Here is a 23478-nt window from a genome sequence, read left to right on the forward strand (position 1 = left end):
GCTGAGAGAAGGGCCGAGGGCAAGCTCCTCTTGCTGTGGCTGCTTGGAATAGTGTCTGTCCAGAATCATCAGCAGGTGAGAATGGCTGTTCCCCCATCTGTAGATTGGCAGCCTTTTTTCTTTTCTAATTGATGCGGTTACCAAAGATCAAATGCCCCCAGGGATGCCCACAGAAGCTTGCCGGGCCTCTTTCTAATAATACGGTCTATGAATACACTCCTGCCAGCTCATGGAAGCAAGTCTCCACTGCTGGCTGATGTTCTGGGAAATCCATACCCTCCCCCATTTCCTTCCTGGCTTTTGAGTACCCATGTCCCTGGTGTCAAAGCACCTCTAGGGATCTAAACTTCAAACCTTGCCTCTGGTTCCTCTGGGGTTTGGCAGGAAGACTGTTCTGTTTGGTCTTCAGCTCTCTTCAGCTCTCTTGCTCCCTTCCTCCTGCAATCTCTCCAAATCTCTGATCTGAGAGCTGATTACCCTGTCTAGGACCCCACTGTGCGTGGACCCCCGGAACAGCATCCTAACCTCGGTTCCACATCCAACCCTCACAGCCCAATCTCCCCACCACAGCCAGAGTAATGTTTTTTCTTTTTTCTGACAGCTTCTTGCTGTGTCGTCCAGGCTAGGGTGCAGTGGCACGATCTCAGCTCATTGCAACCTCTGCCTCCTGGGCTCAGCCTCCGCCTCCTGGACTCACTCAATCTCCTACCTCAGCCTCCCTGGTAGCTGGCACCAGAGGTGTGCACCACTGTCTGGCTAATTTTTTTATTTTTTATAGAAATGGGGTCTCGCCATGTTGCCCAGGCTGTTCTTGAACTCCTGACCCCAGGAGATTCACCCTCCTTGGCCTCTCAAAGTGCTGGGATTATAGGCATGAGTTACCATGCCTGACCCAGAGTAATCTTTTTAAAACCAAAATCAAAGCATGTCAGCCTCCTGTTTGAACCTTGTGTTAGTCTTTTTTTTTTTTTTTTTTAAGACGGAGTCTTGCTCTGTTGCCCAGGCTGGAGTGCAGTGGCATGATCTTGGCTCACTGCAACTTCTGCCTCCTGGGTTCAAGCAACTCTCTTCTCAGCCTCCCGAGTAGCTGGGATTACAGGCATCTGCCACCACGCCTGGCTAATTTTTTTGTATTTTTAGTAGAGATGGGGTTTCACCATGTTGGCCAGGCTGGTCTCAAACTCCTGACCTCATGATCCACCCACCTTCACCTCCTAAAGTGCTGGAATTACAGGCGTGAGCCACCGCGCCCGTCCGTGTTAGTCCATTTTGTGTTGCTATAAAGAAATACCTGAGACTGGGTAATTGATAAAGAAAAGAGGCTTAATTATTAATTAGCTCATGTTTCTGTAGGCTGTACAGGAGGCATAGCACTGGCATCTGTTCCTGGGGAGGCTTCAGGAAGCTTCCAGTCATGGCGGAAGGCATAGTGGGAGCAGGTGCATCTCATACTGAGAGCGGGGATAAGAATAGGCGGGGAGGTGCCACGCACTCTTAAACAACCAGACCTTGTGTGAACTCAGAGCAAGAACTCACTCATTGCCAAGGAGTAGCACTAAGCCATTCATGAGGGATCTGTCCCTATGATCAAAACAGCCCCCCACCAGGCCCCGCCTCCAACAGTGGGGATTACATTTCAACATGAGATTTGGAGGGGACACACATCCAAACCATATCAAACCTCTTCAGCAGTTTCTACCGCACTAGGAGTAAATTTCAAACTCCTCTGTATAACCGAGAAGCCCCTGCATCATCTGGCTCTTGCCTCCCCTTCCAGCCCTGTGTGACTCACTTTCCCCTGCTCACCATTCCAGGCCTCCTGGCCATTCTCAGCAGTACCAAGCTTTCTTCTGCCTCAGGACTTTGCACAGGCTTATGCCTCTGCCTGAAATACTCTCCTGTCCTTCCTCCTACCCCCATCTTTTGCTAAGATTGATTTTTCTCATCCTTGAGGTCCTAGCTTAAATGTCACTTCCCAAGAGAGATCTTTTTTGACCACCCAGTCTAAAATAATTTGTAATGACATAATTTGTAATTTTTGGGGTGCTTGTCTGTTTACTGGCCTCTTCTCTGTCCTTTTGTGTGAGTTGTTCACCTTGCATCCGTCAGAGCAGGCTAAGCTATGTGCAGTAACAAACAACTCCCACATCGTAGTGTCTTCAAACCATAAGGGCTTATTTCTCAGTCATTCTAAATGTCCATCACAGGTTGGTAGGGGGCCTGTGCTCATTGTAGAAACCCTGGCTGATGGAGCAGTCACATTTCCTAACATTCTCAGTAGCCATACCAAGGACAAGAGAGCTCTGGAGGGTCTTATATTGGCAATTAATTTCTCCAGCCTAGAAATGATTATGTGTCATTTCTGCTCACAAGTGATCGGTTAGAGCTAGTCACATGGCTCCACCCAACTACAGGGCTAGGAAGTTTCCAGTGCTCACAAGAGAGGAGTAGAAATGTTTGTCAGACAGCACTAAAGACTCCCACAGTAATCAATAAATACTTTAGAAGGATGGAGTGTCTAGAATGCTCTTTCCATGGCAGCAGTCGTTTACAGCATCCTTAAGGAGTCCTGCTGGGGATCTTGTATTTCTGCTGCTCAAGCCCCTGGCTCTGCTGGGAGTCAGAGTTCTGGTAGGGAAACTCAGCAGACAAGAGGTCCCCTGAGACCTGGAATGAGCCACCTTAGAGGCAGCTGAGGCTGGTGGCCTCTTGGTTCCCTTCTCCCGTTGGGACACGTTTCCCCTATTGGTGTCCTGTGTGAGACAGCCCCGCCAAAAGGGTCCTGCCACTCCTCTCTGAATATACTGCACAGCTCAGGGTCTGGCATGTCCAGGATCTGAATAGATGATCCTGCTGGAGGAGTCCCAGTAGGACCCCTCCGAGTTCTAGGCAGGCAGAGAATGAAAGCAGCATTTCTCAGAAAGCCCTGTGCATCCTGTTACCAATGCAAAGGAATGGCACTTCAGCACCCCAGAAAAGGTGGGGAAACCTCCTGCATCTGCTGTGGGTCCTAGGGGATGGGGGGCAGGTGGGAACAGTAGAATCCTGGCCTGTGGCCTGATTTCTGACCCTGTTCCCTCAACTATCATACCCTTTTCACTTGGGTAGGCTGCTGCAGCTGCTCTCCTCTCTATACTTGCATTTGACAAAGGGTACCACCACAGCAGGCCCTTTCCACCAGGCTGCACGCGGTCACACTTGATACAGATGGGCTTTGGGAGATAAGGCTGTACCAGATTGGTGATCACACACTTGACTGTACATCGTGGCCTCTGGTGGCAATCACTAATGTAAGCTCACATTCCTGAGGCACTCACCAAGTTCCTAGCACTGTACTGAGAGCTCTATGTGGACTTGCATGTACATCTTCTTACCTATAGCATGGAGGTGCTGCTATTGGGCAGCTGGTGAAACTAAAGCCCACAGAAGTAGTTTCCTAATTAAGTAACTGCTAGTCACAAGGTAGAGCCCTCCTTTAATCCTATGCTTCCAGACTCCAAACCTGTGCACTTAACTGTTACTCCGTAAGAAAAGGTTTGGGTCTGATTCCTCTTCTAGGTTATAAATACTAGGGAGCTTCCTCTTTGAGAAGCCTCCTACCCCATCTCCTTACTGTACCTAGCAAAGTGTCTGTCATACGATTAGCACTCAATAAAAGTTTTAAATGTGAATGAGAATGGTAAAAACAGAATACTTAGTAGGCTAACACTAGGATATTCTTCTGATTGCACTTTTTTGTTAAGTTGGTCACTTAAGACTAAGGTAAAGCTTCTGTGCTTTTTGATATAGATGCTGATGGAGGGACTGGATCTGGTAGATACATAGCAATCTAATCATGGCCCAAAGCCTCCAATATAGTATACACATGCATCCTAACTTACAATGATCAACAATGAAAGAATTAATTACACTGTGCTAGCAGCCATGGATATCACATTGCATAAGAGATAGTTCCCTCCCTTAGAGATAAGAGGCAGACGTTTAAACTGTCAGTTGCGATGGCTTGTGACTCTCATGAGGTCTGCGTAGGGGTCAGCACGGTCACAAAACCTGTGGAGGAGGAGGTGGTTAGGAAGGAAAATCCACCGAGATGAAGCTGTACTGGATACAAAATCACACGTTCCTGGGCTTTGGCAGGGAGCTTGCCCACTGCACTTCCTGCCTCGAGGCTATGGCTGGGGTGGGATTCTGGCCCTTGTAGGCGGCCTGGGTCCAGTCTCCGCCATGCACTCACTAACTCCATTACTGCTAATGGGATGTCATCAGCGAAGCGAGTGGTGGCGGCAGGTGGAGTCCCGCCCCAAGACCCCCGGGCGGCATCCCCATCGCCGCGCTCCAGCACTCTTCGCCACCTCGTAATTTTCTTCTGTTTCTGTATGATCAGGTCTGTCCTTCGCTTTTGCTTTCCATTACTTCGTCCTAGCCCTGGCCTGAATCCCACAACTGGCGCCCCACCTTGTGCACCCGCACCCGCCCTCAATACCGGCGGGCAGCTCCTCCACTGCCGCAGGGTTACCAGCTGCGTGTCCGAGGGGCAGAGAGAGAAACAGAGGGGGACGGGGCAGGCGCGCTGGGCCCGCCCCCCCGTGCCTGGGGCAGCTTCTCATTGGTGAAACCTCCTCCCCGGCCGCCCGCTGCTTGGAAAATCAGCCTCGGATTGGCTGACAGCCCCCCGACGGGCGTGGCTTCCGAGGAGAGGGCAAGAACGGAAGCGAGGGCGCGCTCTCGAGAGGAGGGGTTGCCTAGGCGACGCCGGAGGCGCGCTCGGGGGGTGGGAAAGCGAGCCCGGCAGCTCAATGACAAATCGGTGGAGGACGGCTGGGGTCCGGCCCCGGGAGGGGGCGGGGCGCGTTTAAGAGCTGCGGGCCGGGTGCGGACGGCGGAGGCGGCGGGACTGGTCCCTGGTAAGGGCGCGGCGCCCGCGGGCCCCGGGCGGGGTGGGGCGCGGGCTGGGGAGTGGGGTACGCCGCACGCCCGCAGCCTCTTGCTCCCTCCGTGCCGGGCTGTGGCCGGGCGGCGGCAGGACATGTCGCGCCCCGAGGCCGGCGGAGGGCGACGCCCCGGCAGCGGCCCCGCTCCGCTCCGGGAGGACTCCCTGGGGGAGTCTCGGCTTCCTGGGCTGCCTGGGGCTGAGGAAGTGGGGGCGGCCTCCGCCTCTCCCTTGTAGCCGCGGTTCCTTCCCTATCCCGCAGATGGCTCTGCTTCCACTTCCTGCCGCGGGCCTCCCGCTCGGGACCGTCCACTTCCTCAGTCCTCCGGCCGCGGCTTGGGCAGGGTCAGGGCTGGGAAGTGTTGCAAAAACTTAACTGCCCTCGGAACTTGCACGCGCCGTGAACTGGGCGGTGTTCCTAAAGGGCTTCGGTTTGCTGGTTTTGTTTTGGTCCTGTCTTGCAAATGAGCATAAAGTTGTTTCTCCCCCAGCCTCCTCCCCTTTCCTTTCTGATAGGGGCCAGCGGCGAAGGGGCTTCTAAGGGGAAGCGCCTGGACTGGGCATCGCCGTCCCGGTTCTTGCCGCCTGTGGGAGTGTGAGGTTAACCGTGCTCGGTGCAGGGTTGCGGGGCGCGGAGCTTGCTGCGTCCACACTGCTTGTGTGAGCAGTGTCCTCTCTGTGCTCATTTCCAACGAGAAACGTTGGAACTTTGGTGTTCTTATCAGGTGAGTCTTCGGGAGAGAAGTGCTTGTGCCTGGCGGACTGAATGAATTGGCCGTGGAAGAGACTTGGCTGATTGCTCATCTGGGTTACCTGTGACTCATCTTCAGCCCTTGTAGAACAGTGCACTTTCTGCTCTGTCCTGGTTTCCTAACCTCATTTCTTCTGAAGTTTTGGGGATGGATGGTGGGCATGGAGTATCAGAGGGGATAGTGAATCTTTTAGAGGTGTCAATGACTGATGTTCCAAGCAGAGCCATAAGATTGTTGGATGTCAAAGCTCAGAACCGGTCAAGGCTCAGAATGCTCCTTAAACCTGGAGCAATAGAAGCACAGTATCGAAGTTCCCAGAAATGGGCCGACCATGAAAGGTAGCACTGCATATTGGGAAAAACAGGAGGGGTGAGTTTGAAGACCTGGGTTTGATGCAGGTTCTGAGAGTTTACCGGTGTTGTGATGTGGAGCACGATCTTTCCCCCTCTGAGCTCCAGAGTCAGCAACTGTAGAAGGGTGATGATAGTTATCCTAATTGTTAGGATTAAACGAAATAGGAGCGGGGGAGAAGAAGGCCAGGGAGACATATCCTTTGTGCGTGGCTTTAGTTGTCAGCCGGTCTGCTTTATTCTGACCACATCTGGGGCTTTCCTTCCTTGCCCATTCACATTGCTTCCCATTGGAAACAGCACTCTTATCGGAGATCTCAGCCAGATTTCCCTCTGCCCGAGGAATAGAACATTTTCCCAGGATTGTGTGTGGAAAATAGTGTAAGTTATTAGATATCTTTTGGGAACTTGGGACCTAGACCATAAGGATAAACAGGATTTAGAGTCTTCCACGGCATATGAAGAGATTTTGGTAGAAGATGAGGGTAGAAAAGTTCTAAATTCTTGCCTTGACTGAAGATGGCTTGAGATTCCATGAAAAATTTTAAGCCTGAGAATTGAGATAATCCTTTTTTTGTTTGTTTTTGGGGGCAGAGTCTTGCGCTATTTCCCAGGCTGGAGTGGAGTGGTGTGATCACCGCTCACTGCAGCCCCCACCTCCCAGGCTCAGGTGAGTCTCCCACCTCAGCCTCCCGAGTAGCTTGGTACAGTCTTGCACCACCATGCCAAGCTAATTTTTGTATTTTTTGTAGAGATGGGGTTTCACCATGTTGCCCAGGCTGGTCTCGAACTGCTGGGCTCAAGCCATCCTACCACCTTGGCCTCTCAAAGTGCTGGGGATCACAGGTGTGAGCCACCCCGTCTGGCAGGGATAATTCTTTCTTCCAAATCACGTAATCCTACTATGCCTCTTTGCATTTAGTTGCTAAATTCTTACCCCCCTCATGTAACTTATGGAAGTTAGAAACATCATTAGAGACCTTTCTTGAAAGCTAAATTTGGAGACAATGTAAGACTAGAGTGCGAAGAGATCTAGGTGAACTCTGTAGTTTTCCAGTGTAACTTGTCTCCAGATGGTATACAGGAGTCCCACTTTTCCTTGGCTCCAGTTACTGCTAAACAGCCCCTGCTCTAGACATGCAAGACGCTTGGTTTTTTTTTCGTTTTGTTTTTTTAAATGAATGTATGTTCTGAATGTTATCGCAAAGAGAGCCGAGCACAGAGGAAAAGGAACTCTTCCTTCATCACATGGCGGAGTAGTTAAGGAGGAGAAAAACTAACAGTTACTGAGCATCAGCTGTCTGCTTGGCACAGACCACTGATCCAAGCCATACCAGTTAAATATGTGGCCTTGGAGATTTGACCATGGGCTGTCTCCTTTAGCTCCTCAGTTCTTTTGGTACCTAGGAATATAAATATTGGTGTATGTGTACATATATTCTTAGATATTCCAAAAAGCAGAGGGGCCAGTAGGCAAGAGGGTTGATGAGTCTTGGATAGGTGACAGTGGAAAGAAAGATGAAGAGGATGTGGAAGTGAGTGTCAAAGAGGGACGGTATATGTGCTTACTAGAAGCAATTGCAAAATTCTAGCCAGGTCTCAATTTCAAGTTTGTCACTTTAAAAAAAGTAGCTGCTTATAATTTTCCTTAGTGTTCTCCTGGCTGTTTTTGTTTTTGGTGATGGTGGCTAGTTGTTTTTTAGTTGAAATCTAAATGCAGAAAAGAAAAATGCCATTAATTGATAATTACCAATATATTGTTTTCATTGTTGCTTTTGTCAGTGCTTTGTGGGCATTTTTTATATATAGCATTGTTCCAAGCTATACGGCATGAGATGAAGGAAATATAGTAGTTTGGTCCTGCGTGCCTGGCTGCCTGTAAAGTTTGCCTACCTTTTGAATGAGTTTTCTGTTGCTGCATAACAAATTTCCCCAAACTTAGCAGCTTAAAACAACAGACATTTATGATCTCACACAGTTTCTGAAGTTGAAATCTGGGGACAGCTTGGCTGGGTGCTTCTGGCTCATGGTCTCTCCTGAGGTTGCAGTCATCTGAAGCTCGACTGGGACCAGAGGATCTGTTTCCAAAATGGCACGTTCACATGGCTGTTGGCTGGAGGCCTCAGTTCTACACCATGTGGGCCTATGCACAGGGCTTTTCACAACATAGCTTTTCTCCCCAGAGCAAGTGATCTGACGGGGGTGGGGAGAGAGGGAGAGAATGAATATGATAATGATCAAGATGGAAGCAGCAGTATATTCGTGGCTGATATGGTTTGGCTGTGTCCCTACCCAAATCTCACCTTGAATTGTAATCCCCATAATCCCCATACGTTGTGGGAGGGACTCGGTGGGAGGTAATTGAATCATGAGGGCAGTTTCTCCCATACTGTTCTCCTGATAGTGAGTTCTCACGTGATCTGATGGTTTTACAAGCGTCTGGCATTTCCCCTGCTGGCACTCATTCTCTCTCCTGCTGCCCTGTGAAGTGGTTCCTTCTGCCATGATTGTAAGTTTCCTGAGGCCTCCCCAGCCCTGCGGAACTGTGAGTCAATTAAACCCCTTTCCTTTATAAATTACCCAGTCTCGGATATTTCTTCATAGCAGCATGAGAACAGACTAATCCAGTGTCTAATCTTGGAGATGGCATACCATCCCTTCTACCAGCATTCAGACCAGACCTGGCACAATGTGGGAAAGGACTACAAGAGGGGAGGTCAGGGCACATCAGTATTCTTGGAGGCTAGCCACCACAACTTTTTTAAGGTTTAGTCCAGACATCATTGAGAAAATCTTTCTTTCAGATGTTTACTGAAGTATACTGTAGGAGATGGAAAGACAGCTGAGGTCTTTAGTATTGTAGAAGCTTTAATACTATATGTGAAACTTTTATGTTCTTTCTTCCGGTTCTTTGTTAGATGCTGGAATTAGCCAAGTATGCAGTAGCTTTGGAAATAGAAATTCAGATCTTGCTGGTCCCTAAACCAAAAGGAACATCTGAATTTTTTTCTTTAACCCCAAAACAAGTTGGTAAAAAAATATTGCCAAAGTAATCTCCTTTGATGAATGGCTTAAAATTAGTCATTCATTATCTGTGTGTTCTTAAAAATAAAACTCATTGGCAAAGTAGCTGAAAAATTTTGGGGAACCTAAACCCTCTTACTCCTCCCCATTATTTTAAAACTTTGGATACTGCTTGTTTGCCTAGCAGTTCTTCAGTTCACTTTTGAGACCCTCATACATTTTAATTATTGACCTGGATAGAAGGGCGCTATTCTTTTAGCTCCAGATGAAATCTTCCTGAAGTGCCTATAGGTGGAGAGAAGAGTTTCTGGATCCTGAGCCTGAGCCTGGCTAAATGACCTCTAAGTCCCTTCCATCTCTGAAAATTCTATGATCCTTATTTTTTTTTTATAACGAATATCCTTTGAGTTGTGCATATTTATAACAAAATATTTCATTGATCATGTTAAATTGCAACCTCAGAAGACAAGCTTTTCTGAGAATAGCTTTTGTTCTTCCCAATCCAGTTGAAGGTTGTTAGAGTCACTGTTAGGCAGAGTTGAAAAGTCAGCACTATTTGCACTTCCTCTGCTTCCTATTTTTGGCCCCTTGCCCATCCTCTGCCCTAATTTATGAGCTAGTATCTTTCTTTTCTTTCATTCTACTTTCCTTGTAATCCCCCTCCTTCCTCCCACAGGAAGGATTGGTGGCCAGTCCTTTACTGCTGATAGCTGATGCTATTGTTAGGAATGAATTTTAGCCAATGTGTTACCTCTAGTAATACTTGCATGGCAAACCTTTTAAAAATCTCAAATTATATGTGTTCATGTAGTAAACACTGCCATTTTTTAACATCCTAAGTAGCCCTAAAATTTAGTCACTTTCCTCATGTGCATTGTTGTCTCCTTAGTCCCCACCGTGTTGCCGGCCTGGCCTGGTGCATACCCACATCTGCTCTTGACCCCTCTGTTTTTCTACTCTGTAGCCAGAATTACCTTTTCAACATTCAAGCCTAATTATGTTACCCATTGACTTGAAACACTTCAGTGGCTTTCCAGTGCTTTCAGTCAAAGGTCCCAAATCCCTCAACTTGGCCTACACTGGGGTCTTGAATGATCCCGCCCTTCCTTACCTCCTCAGTGTCATCTTGTACTGGGCTCTGCCTCTTTCTCTCTGCTGCAGATAGCTGTGAAGGTCTTTCTCGAGTTTCTTGAGTGGACTTTGCTTCCTCTTGCTTCAGGCCTTCCTGAATGCAGTGTGTGTGTGTGCAGGCACGCGTGATTGGGGGTGGGGGAGTGTGGAGGAGTCCTAGGTAGGAAAGCGCTTGGCACATTCACAGGGCTGGAAGAAGGCAAGGAAAAGGCCACGGAGGCCACGGCCAGTGGAGGGTTTAGCTGCCGCTCATGGTGAGCCTTTAAGGAGCGTTAAGCACAGTTTCATGTGCAGTGTTAGAAGCCCCATTGGAAGGGCTGTGTGGAGAACAGATTGAAGAGGGGCTGGAGTGGTAATGAGGGGTCACTTAGGAAGCTGGGGCTGTTGAATGAATGGTGGCAGAGAAGATGGAAGAAGTGCATGGCTTTGAAATGTATGTTGGAGATGGAATAGCTAGAAATGGTCATGAATTGAGCTGGGGAGAGGCAATGGGAGTCAAAAATGACTTCCAGGTCCCTGGCTTTGGTAACGATACGGATACTAGCGTGTCCGGAATTGGTGGGTTCTTGGGCTCACTGACTTCAAGAATGAAGCCGCGGACCCTCGCGGTGAGTGTTACAGCTCTTAAGGTGGCACGTCTGGAGTCTGTCCCTTCTGATGTTCAGATGTGTTCGGAGTTTCTTCCTTCTGGTGGGTTCGTGGTCTCGCTGGCTCAGGAGTGAAGCTGCAGACCTTCGCGGTGAGTGTTACAGCTCTTAAGGTAGCGCGTCTGGAGTTGTTCGTTCCTCCCGGTGGGCTCGTGGTCTTGCTGGGCTCGGGAGTGAAGCTGCAGATCTTCGCGGTGAGTGTTACAGCTCATAAAAGCAGCGTGGACCCAAAGAGTGAGCAGTAGCAAGATTTATTGCAAAGAGTGAAAGAACAAAGCTTCCACAGCGTAGAAAGGGACCCCAGCGAGTTGCCAATGCTGGCTCGGGCAGCCTGCTTTTATTCTCTTATCTGGCCCCACCCACATCCTGCTGATTGGTAGAGCCGAATGGCCTGTTTTGTCAGGGCGCTGATTGGTGCGTTTACAATCCCTGAGCTAGATACAAAGGTTCTCCACGTCCCCATCAGATTAGTTAGATACAGAGTTTCCACACACAGGTTCTCCAGGGCCCCACCAGAGCAGCTAGATACAGAGTGTCAATTGGTGCATTCACAAACCTTGAGCTAAACACAGGGTGCTGATTGGTGTATTTACAATCCCTGAGCTAGACGTAAAGACTCTCCACGTCCTCACCAGAGCAGCTAGATACAGAGTGTCGATTGGTGCACTCACAAACCTTGAGCTAAACACAGGGTGCTGATTGGTGTATTTACAATCCACGAGCTAGATATAAAGACTCTCCACGTCCCCACCAGACTCAGGAGCCCAGCTGGCTTCACCTAGTGGATCCCGCACCGGGGCTGCAGGTGGAGCTGCCTGCCAGTCCTGCGCCATGCACTTGCATTCCTCAGCCCTTGGGTGGTCGATGGGACTGGGCGCCGTGGAGCAGGGGGTGGCGCTCGTCGGGGAGGCTCGGGCCGCACAGGAGCCCATGGAGTGGGTGGGAGGCTCAGGCATGGTGGGCTGCAGGTCCCAAGCCCTGCCCCGTGGGAAGGCAGCCAAGGCCCGGCGAGAAATCGAGCGCAGTGCCGGTGGGCCAGCACTGCTGGGGGACTCAGTACACCCTCCGCAGCCACTGGCCTGGCTGCTAAGTCCCTCATTGCCCGGGGCCAGCAGGGCTGGCTGGCTGCTCCGAGTGCGGGGCCCACCAAGCCCACGCCCACCCGGAACTCCAGCTGGCCCGCAAGTGCCGCACACAGCCCCGGTTCCTGCTCGTGCCTCTCCCTCCACACCTCCCTGCAAGCCGAGGGAGTGGGCTCCGGCCTTGGCCAGCCCAGAAAGGGGTTCCCGCAGTGCAGTGGGGGGACTGAAGGGCTCCTCAAATGCCACCAAAGTGGGAGCCCAGGCAGGGGAGGTGCCTAGAGCAAGCGAGGGCTCTGAGGATTTCCAGCATGCTGTCACCTCTCACTAGTAGTGACTTCAGTAGCTAATAAATGGGGGATAGTGAAGGAGCAGATTTTAAGAGGGAAGAATCAAGAATTCTATTTTGGGAATAAGTTGAGAATCTTGTGGCAGCCCAGTGGGCAGGGGCAGCAGCAAGGCTGTGAGCCTGGGGCCAGGAGAGCGGTCAGGGCTGCATCCTCAGGTTCGTAAGTTGTCTGTACAGCCACTGGGCTGTATGTGGTGCAGATGAGGAGGGAGCAAGACTGAGCTCCGAGAAGTGCTGACATCTAGATGGGGAGGAGGAATGCCTGGCAAGTGGCGCCGAGAAAGGGCCCAGAGAGCCACCCGGGAAGCACTCAGCCTGTGGGAGAATGTGGGCTGTGGAAGCCAGGAGGGATGGCCTCAGGAGGGGGACGCTGGAAGGGGCCCTATACAGGCCTGCTGCGGGCCTTCCCTTTCCAGGCAGCGTTTTGTCACTCTTGCTACTTGCTCATTTTAAAGAGGAGGAGGGCATGGGAAGGAAGAAAGAAGAGTTTTTATTGGAGCTAGCTACGTGGAGTTTGTGGGTGATCTTGATCTCACAAATTTCTGTGAGCTTATATTGGGAGGAAGTTGGATTGGAATGGTTTCCGTAAATAGTGAGGGAAGGAAACAAAGGCTTTTGCTACACAGTGTGGGGTCTGTGGGTCAGGAACATGATTAGAGACTAGGTTAGTGGTGCCAAATCTTGGGCTCCACTCCAGACCTACTGAATCAGAATATGCGTTTTCACAAGATTCCCAGGTAAACTATGCATTAAAGTTTGAGAAGCATTAGCACAGATAATTCCTATAGAGGAATTGTGTCATTAGCTAGAAGGATATATGGGGGTCAAAGGCACACACGCATGTGTGAATCTTTAGGGTGAAGATTCAATAGAACGTGTCTACATGCTGTTGGGGATGATCCTGTAGCAAAGTAAAGACTGATTGATGCTGCAGGAAGAAGGGTAGTGGTAGGAATTAAGTTCTTGGGCATGGTGGTGGTGGAGGGCTTGGCCTTTGCTAAGAGCAGGAATGTGTACTCCATGAGGCTGGAGACAAGGAGAAGAAGGGCGTGGAAGGTTTGTAGATTTGTTGAAGGAGCTCTGAGGGAGTTAGGGTTTGATGGCTTGGTGTTCTCTGGGACAAATGAGGTTAGGTTATCTGTCAAGAGTAAGCAGAGGGAGGGCACAGGGGAGAGTCACAGCGAGATTACTAGGAAGTGTGGGGGAATGCCCATTCGTGGTTTGTGATCATAAGTGCATTGAGAGTGGAGTGCTGGGAGGCTGCTTTCTTGAGTTTCTTTCCCTCGACAGCAGCATTTGCATGCTGGGTGCAGGTGCTGAAAACAGTGAGTGAGATGGAGGGGAAGGGAGCAGGGAGATGAGGTATCTGCAAGAGGGCTTTTCTCATGTCAGGCTTTGGGATCTAAGCTGGTGAAGGGAGGCAGTGCAGCCCAGAGGGTCTTGTTATGCAGAGAGAGAGTGCTGGAGGCCAATGCTTGCAGGTGTCAAGAGGGCAGAGAATTGTGTGTGGGGGTGGTATTTGAACAAGTGAGCAAGAAGGATGGAGGCTGAGGCTAGAGGGTTAGAGGAGATAACTGTTTCTGGTGACGGTGAAGTTCAGGTAATGACCATGATAATGTTAGATAGAAGGAAAGAAAGGGTTTTCGGAGAAGAGAGGATCAAGGACTTGAGAGGGGCCGAGCTTGGCTGGGACATCCACATGCACAGATGTCATTGGGGAGGACGACAGGAGTTGGGTAGAATGGAAGTCTGCAGACCAGAAGCAGATGTCCTCAATAAATGAGGGAAGTGACCAGGAAGTCTGTAGCTGATAGTAACAAGGTGAAGGACAGGCTATTATGGCTGGAAAGGCCAGGCCTCAAAGGTATGGGGGCTTTTGTAAGACGGATGGGGCTAACAGAGGTACTGAAGTGCAGGTGACATTGGGGAGGGAGGAAGGACACATATCTGGTCTGTCTGGCCCTGAAGCACATGGCATGGGAGGAGAAATAGCATCTGCTTGATGTGGTGTCCCCAGGGCACACCCAGGTCTCAGAGCTAGAAGGTAGAGGAACATTCTTAGAAGAGGTGGAGGCTCTCGAAGGGTTTGCTGGTGTGCCTGAGGTTGCAGGGACCAGGTGGGTTAGCCATTTCAGGAGATGGATGCAGTTCTGTTGGGTTGAGAGCCCTAGTCATAGGAAAGAGTGGGGACACCTGCACTTCTGGTGGTGACTGTTCAGGACAGATGTTCAGCAGTGTGCTCCCCTTAAGAGGAGGGTGGTCCTGTTCTAGCACCGTAGTTCCCAAACGTGGCTGGGGAGGTGGCAGCTTCCTTGTGTGATCCTCTCAGCCTTCACATACTGACACAGCAGGGAAGAGAAGGCAAGACTGTTTCTGTTAGAGCCGTTTCGGGAGTTGCTGGGGAGATTTAGGACAGGGACATCCTGAAATGCCCATTGGTTATGCCTCTAAGGCAAATTACGCTGTGTTTTGGGTGATGAAGAAAGAAGGGTGTGAAGGGCTTCTGTTGATGAAAATCTGCCTGTGCTTGTTTCCAGGTGGAGTATGCCTTTGGTACGCGTTTTCCACGTGTCCCTCTCCACTGCCCTGAGACGTAGGCAGGGCAGATATTGTCAGTGAGTGGGAGTGACTTGCCTAATCCTCTAGTGAGTCAGTGGCTGAAGGAGGACTCAAAGCCAGGCCCCTTCATTCCTCAGGACAAGGGGGACTGCGTCTGAGCAAAAAGTATCTTGCCTTATCTCTTTCTTATGGACTGGCAGCTTTTCCTACTTTACCATATATTTGGCTCTGAGGCCAGTTTCTTTCTCAAGACTTTCTAGAGTATTAGAGTGATATTTATTTATTTATTTTGAGGTAAGTTCTCACTGTCGCCCAGGCTGGAGTGCAGCGGTGAGATCACAGCTCACTGGAGCCTTGACCTCCCTGGGCTCAGTGGTCCTCCCACCTCAGCCTCCTGAGTAGCTGGGACTACAGACACATGCCACTACACCCAGCTAATTTTTGTAGAGATGGGTTTTGCCACGTTGCCCAGGCTGGTCTTAAACTCCTGGGCTCAAGCGATCTGCTTCTTTGGCCTCCCAAAATGTTGGGATTACAGGCATAAGCCACTGTGCCCAGGCTAGAATGATATTTAAAAAGCAGCTAAGTGCTTACTGAGAACTTCTTTTAATAGGTATTCCTTCGTTTAATCTTCATAACAGTCCTAAGGATATAGCCCTCCTGTATTTCATTTTATTTTTGAGACGAAGTCTCGCTCTGTCACCCAGGCTGGAGTGCAGTGGCGTGATCTTGGCTCACTGCAGCCTCTGCCTCCCAGGCTCAAGCAATCCTCCCACCTCAGCCTCCAAACCCAGCTAATTTTTTGTATTTTTGGTAGAGATGGGGTTTCACCATGTTGCCCAGGATGGTCTCGAACTCCTGAGCTCAAGCATTCCGCCCGCCTCAGCCTCCTAAAGTGCTGGGATTATAGGCATGAGCCACTGCGCCTGGCCTGTCCTATATTTTATTTTATTATTTATTTATTTTTTGATACAGAGTCTTGCTCTGTCGCCCAGGCTGGAGTGCAATGGTGCGATCTCGGCTCACTGCAACCTCTGCCTCCAGGGTTCTAGCGATTCTCCCTGCCTAAGCCTCCCTGGGAGCTGGGATTACAGATGCACGCCACCACGCCCGGCTAATTTTTGTATTTTTAGTAGAGATGGGGTTTTACCATGTTGGCCAGGTTGGGCTCGAACTCCTGACCTCAGGTGATCCACCTGCCTCAGCCTCCCAAAGTGCTGAGATTACAAGTGTGAGCCACTGCGCTAGCCTATTTATTTATTTATTTATTTGAGATAGAGTCTCACTCTGTTGCTCAGGCTGGAGTGTAGTGGTGTGATCTCGGCTCACTGCAAGCTCTGCCTTCTGGGTTCAAGCAATTCTCCCTGCCTCAGCCTCTTGAATAGCTTGGATTACAGGCACCCACCATCACACCCAGCTAATTTTTGTGTTTTTAGTAGAGACGGGGTTTCACCATGTTGGCCAGGCTGGTCTGGAACTCCTGACCTCAAGTGATCCATCCACCTCCGCCCCTCAAAGTGCTGGGATTACAGGCGTGAGCCACCACACCTGGCCTTGTCCTGTATTTTGTAGATCAGACTGAGGACAAGAAATGTTAACTAAAGCTGTTAGCTTCTTAATGGCAGAATTCAAGTCAAGGGTTTGTTTTCCTGTCCCACAACTGTAGTTGGTATATAACTACTTTTTAAAAATTCTGGTAAAATGTACATAAGATAAAATTCAACATTTTACCTATTTTCAGGGGTACAGTTCAGTGACATTAAGCATGTTTACTTTGTTGTGCAGCCATCACCACCATCCATCTCCAGAACTTCCTCATCCCAAACTGAACCTCTGCACCCATTAAACACTGACTCCCCACTCCCCTCTTCCCCCACCCCCTGGCAGCCGCCATTCTATCCTGCTTTCTGTCTCCCATTGTGATTGTTTTGGGTACCTCATATCAGTGGAATCATAGTATTTGTGCTTTTGTGTCTTGCTTATTTCACTTAGTATAACGTCTTTAAGGGTGATCCATGTTATAGCATGTGTCAGCTTCCTTCCTTTGTAAGGCTGAATATTCTACATTTACACCACATCTGATTTATCTGTTTATCTATTGATGGACATTTGGGTTGTTTCCGCCTCTTGGTTATTGTGAATAATGCTGATGTGAACATGGGTGTATAAATATCTGTTCAAGTCCTTGCTTTCAGTTCTTTTGTATATACAGCCACGCATCACTTAATGACACCTATGTTCTGAGAAATGCTTTTAAGCAATGTCAGTGTTTTGCAAACGTCGGGGTATACTTACACAAGCCTAGATGGTGTAGCTTACTACTCACCTAGCCCGTACGGTACAGCCTTTTGCTCATGGGCTGCAAATCTGCACGTCATGTTACTGTACCGAATACCGTGGGCAGTTGTAACACAATGGGGAAGTATTTGTGTAAACATATCGAAACGTAGGAAAGGCCCAGTAACAGTACAGTACTATAATCTTATGGGACCACCGTTGTATTATGTGGTCTGTCATTGACTGAAACTTCTTTATTTGGTGCATGACTGTATAACAACTATTTTTGTTGTATATTTTCTCTCAGGTCTTTGTTTTAGAGCTTGTGCTCTGTGTTGCCTGCCTATGCATTTTTCTCCCTCTTTAGTGAGCTTTCTGACCCATAGATCTGTGTCCTTGAAATAAGTTTCAACATTTCACATCATACTTGAAGCTCTTCCCCACCCCACTCTAATCCACTCATAGAGCACAGACCATGTAGTGGCTCAGAGTATGGACTGCTAGGGCTCCAGTCCCAGCCCTGCCATCCGCTAGTTAAGTGACCCTGGACAAATCATACAAACTCTGTTTGAGTGTATGCAATATACTAGAGATGCTATAGAAGTAGAAGTAGAAGTAGTAGTAGAATCTGTTTAAGTCTCTAAATAGGTTTTATTTGAATAAATAATTCAGGATAGGGACATGTATGCTAATTCCAAATTTGCCTTCAGCTGTTAGGAGTCCAGTAGCTCTAATGTCTCCACGGCTGCCTCTTCAGGTAGCAGGAACTTCAGAGTGAATCTGTATAAATGTGTAACCATCTGTAAGGCTAGCAGAATCCCAGATTCCATGGGTGGGTGGAGGAGGACTTTATTTCAGAAATATATTAAAATAAGCTTCCAATTTCCTCCCACCATTTATTGTTGCTTTATAGTTCAGGAAAGTTATCAGATAAATGAATTAATGTTTCAGAGCTTACTCGTCTGCACAGTGGCTCATGCCTGTAATCCCAACACTTTGGGAGGCTGAGGCAGGAGAGTCACTTGAGGCTAGGAGTTTGAGACCAGCCTGGACAACATAGTCTCTACAAAATTTTTATTTTATTTTTTGAGATGGAGTCTTGCTCTGTCGCCTGGGCTGGAGTGCAGTGGCGCGATCTCGGCTCACTGCAACCTCCACCTCCCGGGTTCAAGCGATTATCCTGCCTCAGCCTCCCAAGTAGCTGGGACTACAGGTGTGTGCCACTACGCCCAGCTAATTTTTATATTTTTAGTAGAGACGCAGTTTCACTATGTTGGTTGGCCAGGATGGTCTCAATCTCTTGACCTCGTGATCTGCCCACCTTGGCCTCCCAAAGTGCTGGGATTACAGGCGTGAGCCACTGTGCCCTGCCAAAATTTTTTTTAAATTAGGTGGGCGTGGTGGTGTGTGCCTGTAGTCCCAGTTACTTGGGAAGCTGAGGTGGGAGGGTTGCTCGAGTCCCAAAGGTTGAGGCTGTAGTGAGTCATGATCACGCCACTGTACTCCAGTCTGGGCGACAGAATGAGACCTTGTCTTAAAAAAGAAAATAAATAAATAAAAAGCTTACCAGTTACCATTTATCCTTTTGAGGCCTCACAACCCAGGTGGAGAACACCAGCTCTGGTGTTTTATCTACCAAATATTGAGCGTCCACCAAGTACCAGGCACACTGGGCACACAAAGATGAATGGGCTTGAAGTTTGGTGGGACAAACAGACCTCATCTTGGGGGAAATCACGACTTTCCCTAAGTGAAATGGTAGACAATATTGACAGGCATGGGGGCCCCCTGAGACTGGGAGGATGGGCTGGCCGGGGGATATCTAGGAAGGTGAGGAGGAAATATTGCAGCTGAGTCTTAAATTATAGGTGATCCTCCTCCATCAGGAGGAAGGGCAGTCCTGGCAGTAGGAATAGCATGTGCACAGAGGTACAGACCAGAAGCAGCCTCCTGCTTACAGGAAGGGACTCCAAAGCCTTCTAGTTTTTGTTTTAGTTAACTTCATTTGTTTTTGTTAATTTAGTTTTTCTTTTTTTGGAGGGGGCGCGTGGGAAGGGACAGGTAAAGAGGTATCCATTAGGGAATAGAAATATCTAAAACAAATTTCCTTAGGCATACAGGAGGGCTAATTAGAGTTGTTTTGCATATCTAATGTCAGAAAAAAGTCAAAAATTGAAAGATAATTTAGATCACTTAATTCAACTTTCTGGTTTTTATAGACATGGAAAGTTGAGTCATAACGCGTATGAGCATATGAACATTTTCCATTCCCTGGTGCTAATTAGAATAGCAGCTACACAAGGGAAGGGGAACTTGACCAAGGAGGTCGCTTGACTCAGGCCAGGGTCTGGGTATGAGATCGGGAGGGCTGGGCCTATCATGTCCGAAGCAGGGTCAGGGAGCCAGGCAAATGAGTGAGGCAGGTGGAAGTAAGACTGCAGCAGGCTTACGCTGGCTTTCACATAGTGTATGTCCCTTCCAGAAGCGGCAGCTGCTCCACAGCACCAGCTGAGTGGGACTTAGGAATGTCAGACTTCTTGATTTTTTTAAGCGATGCCAAAAATTTGGACTTTTATGTGAAATCGTTCTTTAAAAAATGTAAGTAACTAAATGAATATATATATATATTTTTTTCCAGATGGAGTCTCGCTGAGTTTGCCAGGTTGGAGTGCAGTGGCGTGATCTGGGGTCACTGCAACTTCTGCCTCCTGGGTTCAAGCGATTCTCCTGCCTCAGCCTCCCAAGTAGCTGGGATTACAGGCACGAGCCACCATGCCCAGCTAATTTTTGTATTTTTAGTAGAGACGGGGTTTCACCATGTGGGCCGGGATGGTCTTGAGCTCCTGACCTCGTGATCTGCCCGCCTTAGCCTCCCAAAGTGCTGGGATTACAGGCATGAGCCACTGCACCTGGCCTAAATGAATTTTTAAAAGCACTATATGAGCAAACAAAGCATGTCTGCAGGCCACCAAATTTTACAAATTGGCATCTCTGCTTTTGCCACATGGTGAAAGCTGGTCCACAGCAAGGAAGAGAGACAGAGCCAGCATGTGGCGAGAATCACAGGGATGGTCTGGCAGCTTTCAGGGCCCTGTGTCCAGTTGCTCCTGAGTCCCAGCCCTATCCTCGGCCTCCTTCCTGTAGCATAGTTTTTCGTTTCGAGTCAGTGACATACATTAGTAGTCTGCTAGTAAATCCCCCTTTGTGGTATAAATTAATTTACCTTACGTTTGTTTTTAGTGGAAATTTTCAAACATATACGAAGGTATAGAGAATAGTACATAATGCGCTACCTTGTCACCATCAGTCAATGAATGGCTAATCCGACCAGATGCCATGGCTTACACCTGTAATCCCAGCTACTCTGGAGTTGGGGGCAGAGGGCCCAGGACGGGAGTGTGTGTGGGGGGTGTTGCTTGAGCCCAAGATGTTGAGACTGTAGTGAGCCATGATCGTACCACTGCACTGCAGCCTAGGTGACAGAGCAAGAACCTATCCTAAAATAAATAATTAAGATCCACTCAGTGTTCAGATTTCCTCAATTTACTTTGTTCAAATTAGGCAAAATAAGGAGTATGTGTTTAAAAAACTTTTTTTAAAGCGGAAGAAGAGGCCGAGGCAAGTTTCAGAGCAGGAGTGAAAGTTTATCAGAATGCTTTAGAACAGGAAGGAAAGGAAAGAAAAGAAGGAAAGTCCAACTTCATTGTTGCCAGTATTAACTCTGTATCCTACAATAATTCTTTGTTTATATATAAACAAACAATTTTTTTAAACAAATGACATTGTATTATATGTTTTCTGCACGTTTCTGATAGAATTTGGATCATTGCCATTTTGTACCTCCTCCTAAATGGATACATCTGGACATTGTTCCTGGTCAGTACATATAGCACTTCTCCATTCTTTTCAATAGCTGGATAATCTAAAATTTGGTTGTAATTTGGTTTGTTCCTTCCGTGGGTTCATCGTCTTGCTGACTTACAGAATGAACCTGCAGACCTTTGTGGTGAGTGTTACAGCTCTTAAACGTGGTGTGTCTGGAGTTTGTTCCCAAGATGTATCCGGAGTTTGTTCCTTCCGGTGGGTTCATGGTCTCACTGACTTCAAGAATGAAGCCGCAAACCTTCGCAGTGAGTGTTATAGCTCTCAAAGGTGGCACAGGCTGAAAGAGTGAACAGCAGTAAGATTTATTGTGAAGAGTGAAAGAACAAAGCTTCCACAGCGTGGAAGGTGACCTGAGCAGGTTGCTGCTGCTGGCTGGGGTGGCCAGTTTTTATTCCCTTATTTGGCCACACCCATGTCCTGCTGATTGGTCCATTTTACAGAGTGCTGATTGGTCCATTTTAGAGAGCACTGATTGGTGCATTTTACAGTGTGCTGATTGGCACATTTTACAAACCTCTAGCCAGCCACAGAGCGCTGATTGGTGCGTTTTACAATCCTAGCTACAGAGGACTGATTGGTGCATTTTACAATCCTCTTGTAAGACAGAAAAGTTCTCCAAGTCTCCACTCGACCCAGGAAGTCCAGCTGGCTTCACCTCTCACTATCATAATTTATGCAAGAATTCCCCATTGATGGAAATTTTAAAGATTATTATAGCATTCTTTTTAGTGACAAAAAATTATTCTTGTAATTATATCCTTATACTTTTGTAGAATAAATTCCTGGAAGAGGTTTACATTCATATAATTCTTTTAGTAGTTGCTTATTTTTTCCCAAAAGGCTGTGGCAGTTAATAATATCAGTAGTATTCATTTCCCCAAACTCTTGATGAACCCAATCTAATGTTTTATTTACATTTCCTTGACTACTAGAGAAATTGGGTTTAGCTTCATATGTTTGTTATCTGTGCCCACTTTTCTGTGAAGTACTTCTTCATTTTTTGCCCGTTTAAAAAAACTAGGTTGTTTGACTTACTGCTTTGCAGGGGCTTTTTATATATTAGGGATATTACTTTGTTTTGTGTTGCAAATATTTTCTCCTTATCTGTTTGTCTTTCAGTTCTTCTTATAATTCTCCTTTGCTTTTCAAATTATTTTCCCGTTTTTTAGCTGTTGAATTAAACATTTCTTACCATATTTTGATTCCCTGCATTTTTCCATTACTGCTTCCTGTTGGGAACGCTTGTTTGAAAAAAATAACAGGAAGTTGAATTTTAACTATACTGTTGAGTTTGAGCTTTTGTAAAGTCAAAAGACAAAATTATCACAAATGTAGTTTAAAGATCTTAACTGGCTTTATTTGCAGTTCTGGTATCGGGCAGCATGTGATTCCATAAGATTGTGTTCGAGTGAGCTGAGGAGAGGAGGCTGGCTTTGTGGAAAGAAAAGGGCTGAAAAATGCAGAAACATAGAACCCAAAATAGGTCGTTTCAAAGTTACTTTCTTTGTAAGGCCGGAACAGGGAGACACAACAATGGAAAATAACTGGTTAAAATCGGTTAGTTTTTGTTGTAAGGATTAAAACAAAGGAAAGGTCATTTCTGTGATTGTAGGAAAATGTGAATTTTCTGACTCAGGTGTGCCCTCCACCTTGACCAGTCTCCCCTTGGTGTTCTCCCGAAGCAGAGCCCTTCCTTCTCCCTTGTTTATTTAATATTCATTATAGTTATGGATTTCTGGATTCCTAATTTTTCAGGGGTCTGTTTTCAATACTGTTCTTGTTTTTGTCCCTACATTGTCCCAGCTTTAGGATTGCCAGACTCAAATATTATGATTATGGCCTACTAGGTGACCTTCAGTTCATACTGTCTGGAGGAGTGCTGAATGCAGTTATTGGCAGGTGTGTAATGTTTGACTGTTTGCTGTGTGCTTCTGTTGCCGTAATACTCAGGACACAGAATTTTAGGAGGGGGACTGAGAGATTAGGTTTCCCCTAGGTTTTCAGATTCTCATTTGTGATTTTCATGACAACCCTATGATACTGCAAGGTGGCATTTGGACACGACTTACCAACGCATTTCCTCTTTGCTCAAGCTTAATAAAAGACTGACTATATTGGCCTATGGGACTAACGCTAGTAGAAACCACCTCTTCCTCCTAACATGTATGGTTTTATGTACTATGATTTGCTTTCAAAATACATTTTACTTCTCAAGTGAATATATGTTCTGGTATTTGGTTTTATGCTAAGTGGTAGAGAGCCCTATCTAATATTAGTGTTTCATATAACATTACATAGAAAAACCATTTCCCAGTGCTCTTGCCCCACTTTCCCGACAAGTCATCTAAGTGGACATCCTTAGTTTGGAGTGTCTTGTTATTCTGTATCCTTGTTGATTCAGTGCCTTACAAGCTAAGATGGGCTGGAGGACCCGCCTAGCAATGACTCCCTGTTTTCTCTAGAATCAAAGTTTCTTAAGATGGCACTTTAGGCCC

At 47.7% G+C, this 23478-nt stretch overlaps 1 protein-coding gene across 12 annotated transcripts in view, besides 2 other annotated features; it reads left to right on the forward strand.

Annotated features, from left to right (window-relative positions):
• RALB (RAS like proto-oncogene B) overlaps positions 1-23478 on the forward strand; it is a 54641-nt gene that overhangs the window by 8007 nt on the left and 23156 nt on the right. For 3 of the 12 annotated variants that reach the window (XM_047445363.1, XM_047445365.1, XM_047445362.1), the window contains exons 1-2: positions 4776-4904; positions 20914-20974. The exons of 2 other annotated variants lie outside the window; for them this stretch is intronic. Coding sequence is in view for 3 of the 10 variants with exons in the window: in XM_047445358.1 (XP_047301314.1) it covers positions 22867-22882 (16 nt within the window). In the remaining 7 variants the exon portion in view is untranslated. Of the gene's footprint in view, positions 1-4775; positions 4905-4981; positions 5656-20913; positions 20975-22784; positions 22883-23478 lie in introns of those variants that run through there. 7 more of the 12 variants (XM_047445358.1, XM_047445361.1, NM_001369400.1 and 4 more) reach the window with 5 other exon arrangements.
• Positions 4469-5058: a silencer, noted in NCBI's record as "silent region_11918". NCBI's record gives its function as "represses an Ori minimal core promoter by ATAC-STARR-seq in GM12878 lymphoblastoid cells {active_cell/tissue: GM12878}" and the evidence as "EXISTENCE:reporter gene assay evidence [ECO:0000049][PMID:35858748]".
• Positions 5559-5828: an enhancer, noted in NCBI's record as "active region_16459". NCBI's record gives its function as "activates an Ori minimal core promoter by ATAC-STARR-seq in GM12878 lymphoblastoid cells {active_cell/tissue: GM12878}" and the evidence as "EXISTENCE:reporter gene assay evidence [ECO:0000049][PMID:35858748]".

Source organism: Homo sapiens, chromosome 2, assembly GCF_000001405.40.
Source record: "Homo sapiens chromosome 2, GRCh38.p14 Primary Assembly".
Lineage (NCBI taxonomy): Eukaryota > Metazoa > Chordata > Mammalia > Primates > Hominidae > Homo > Homo sapiens.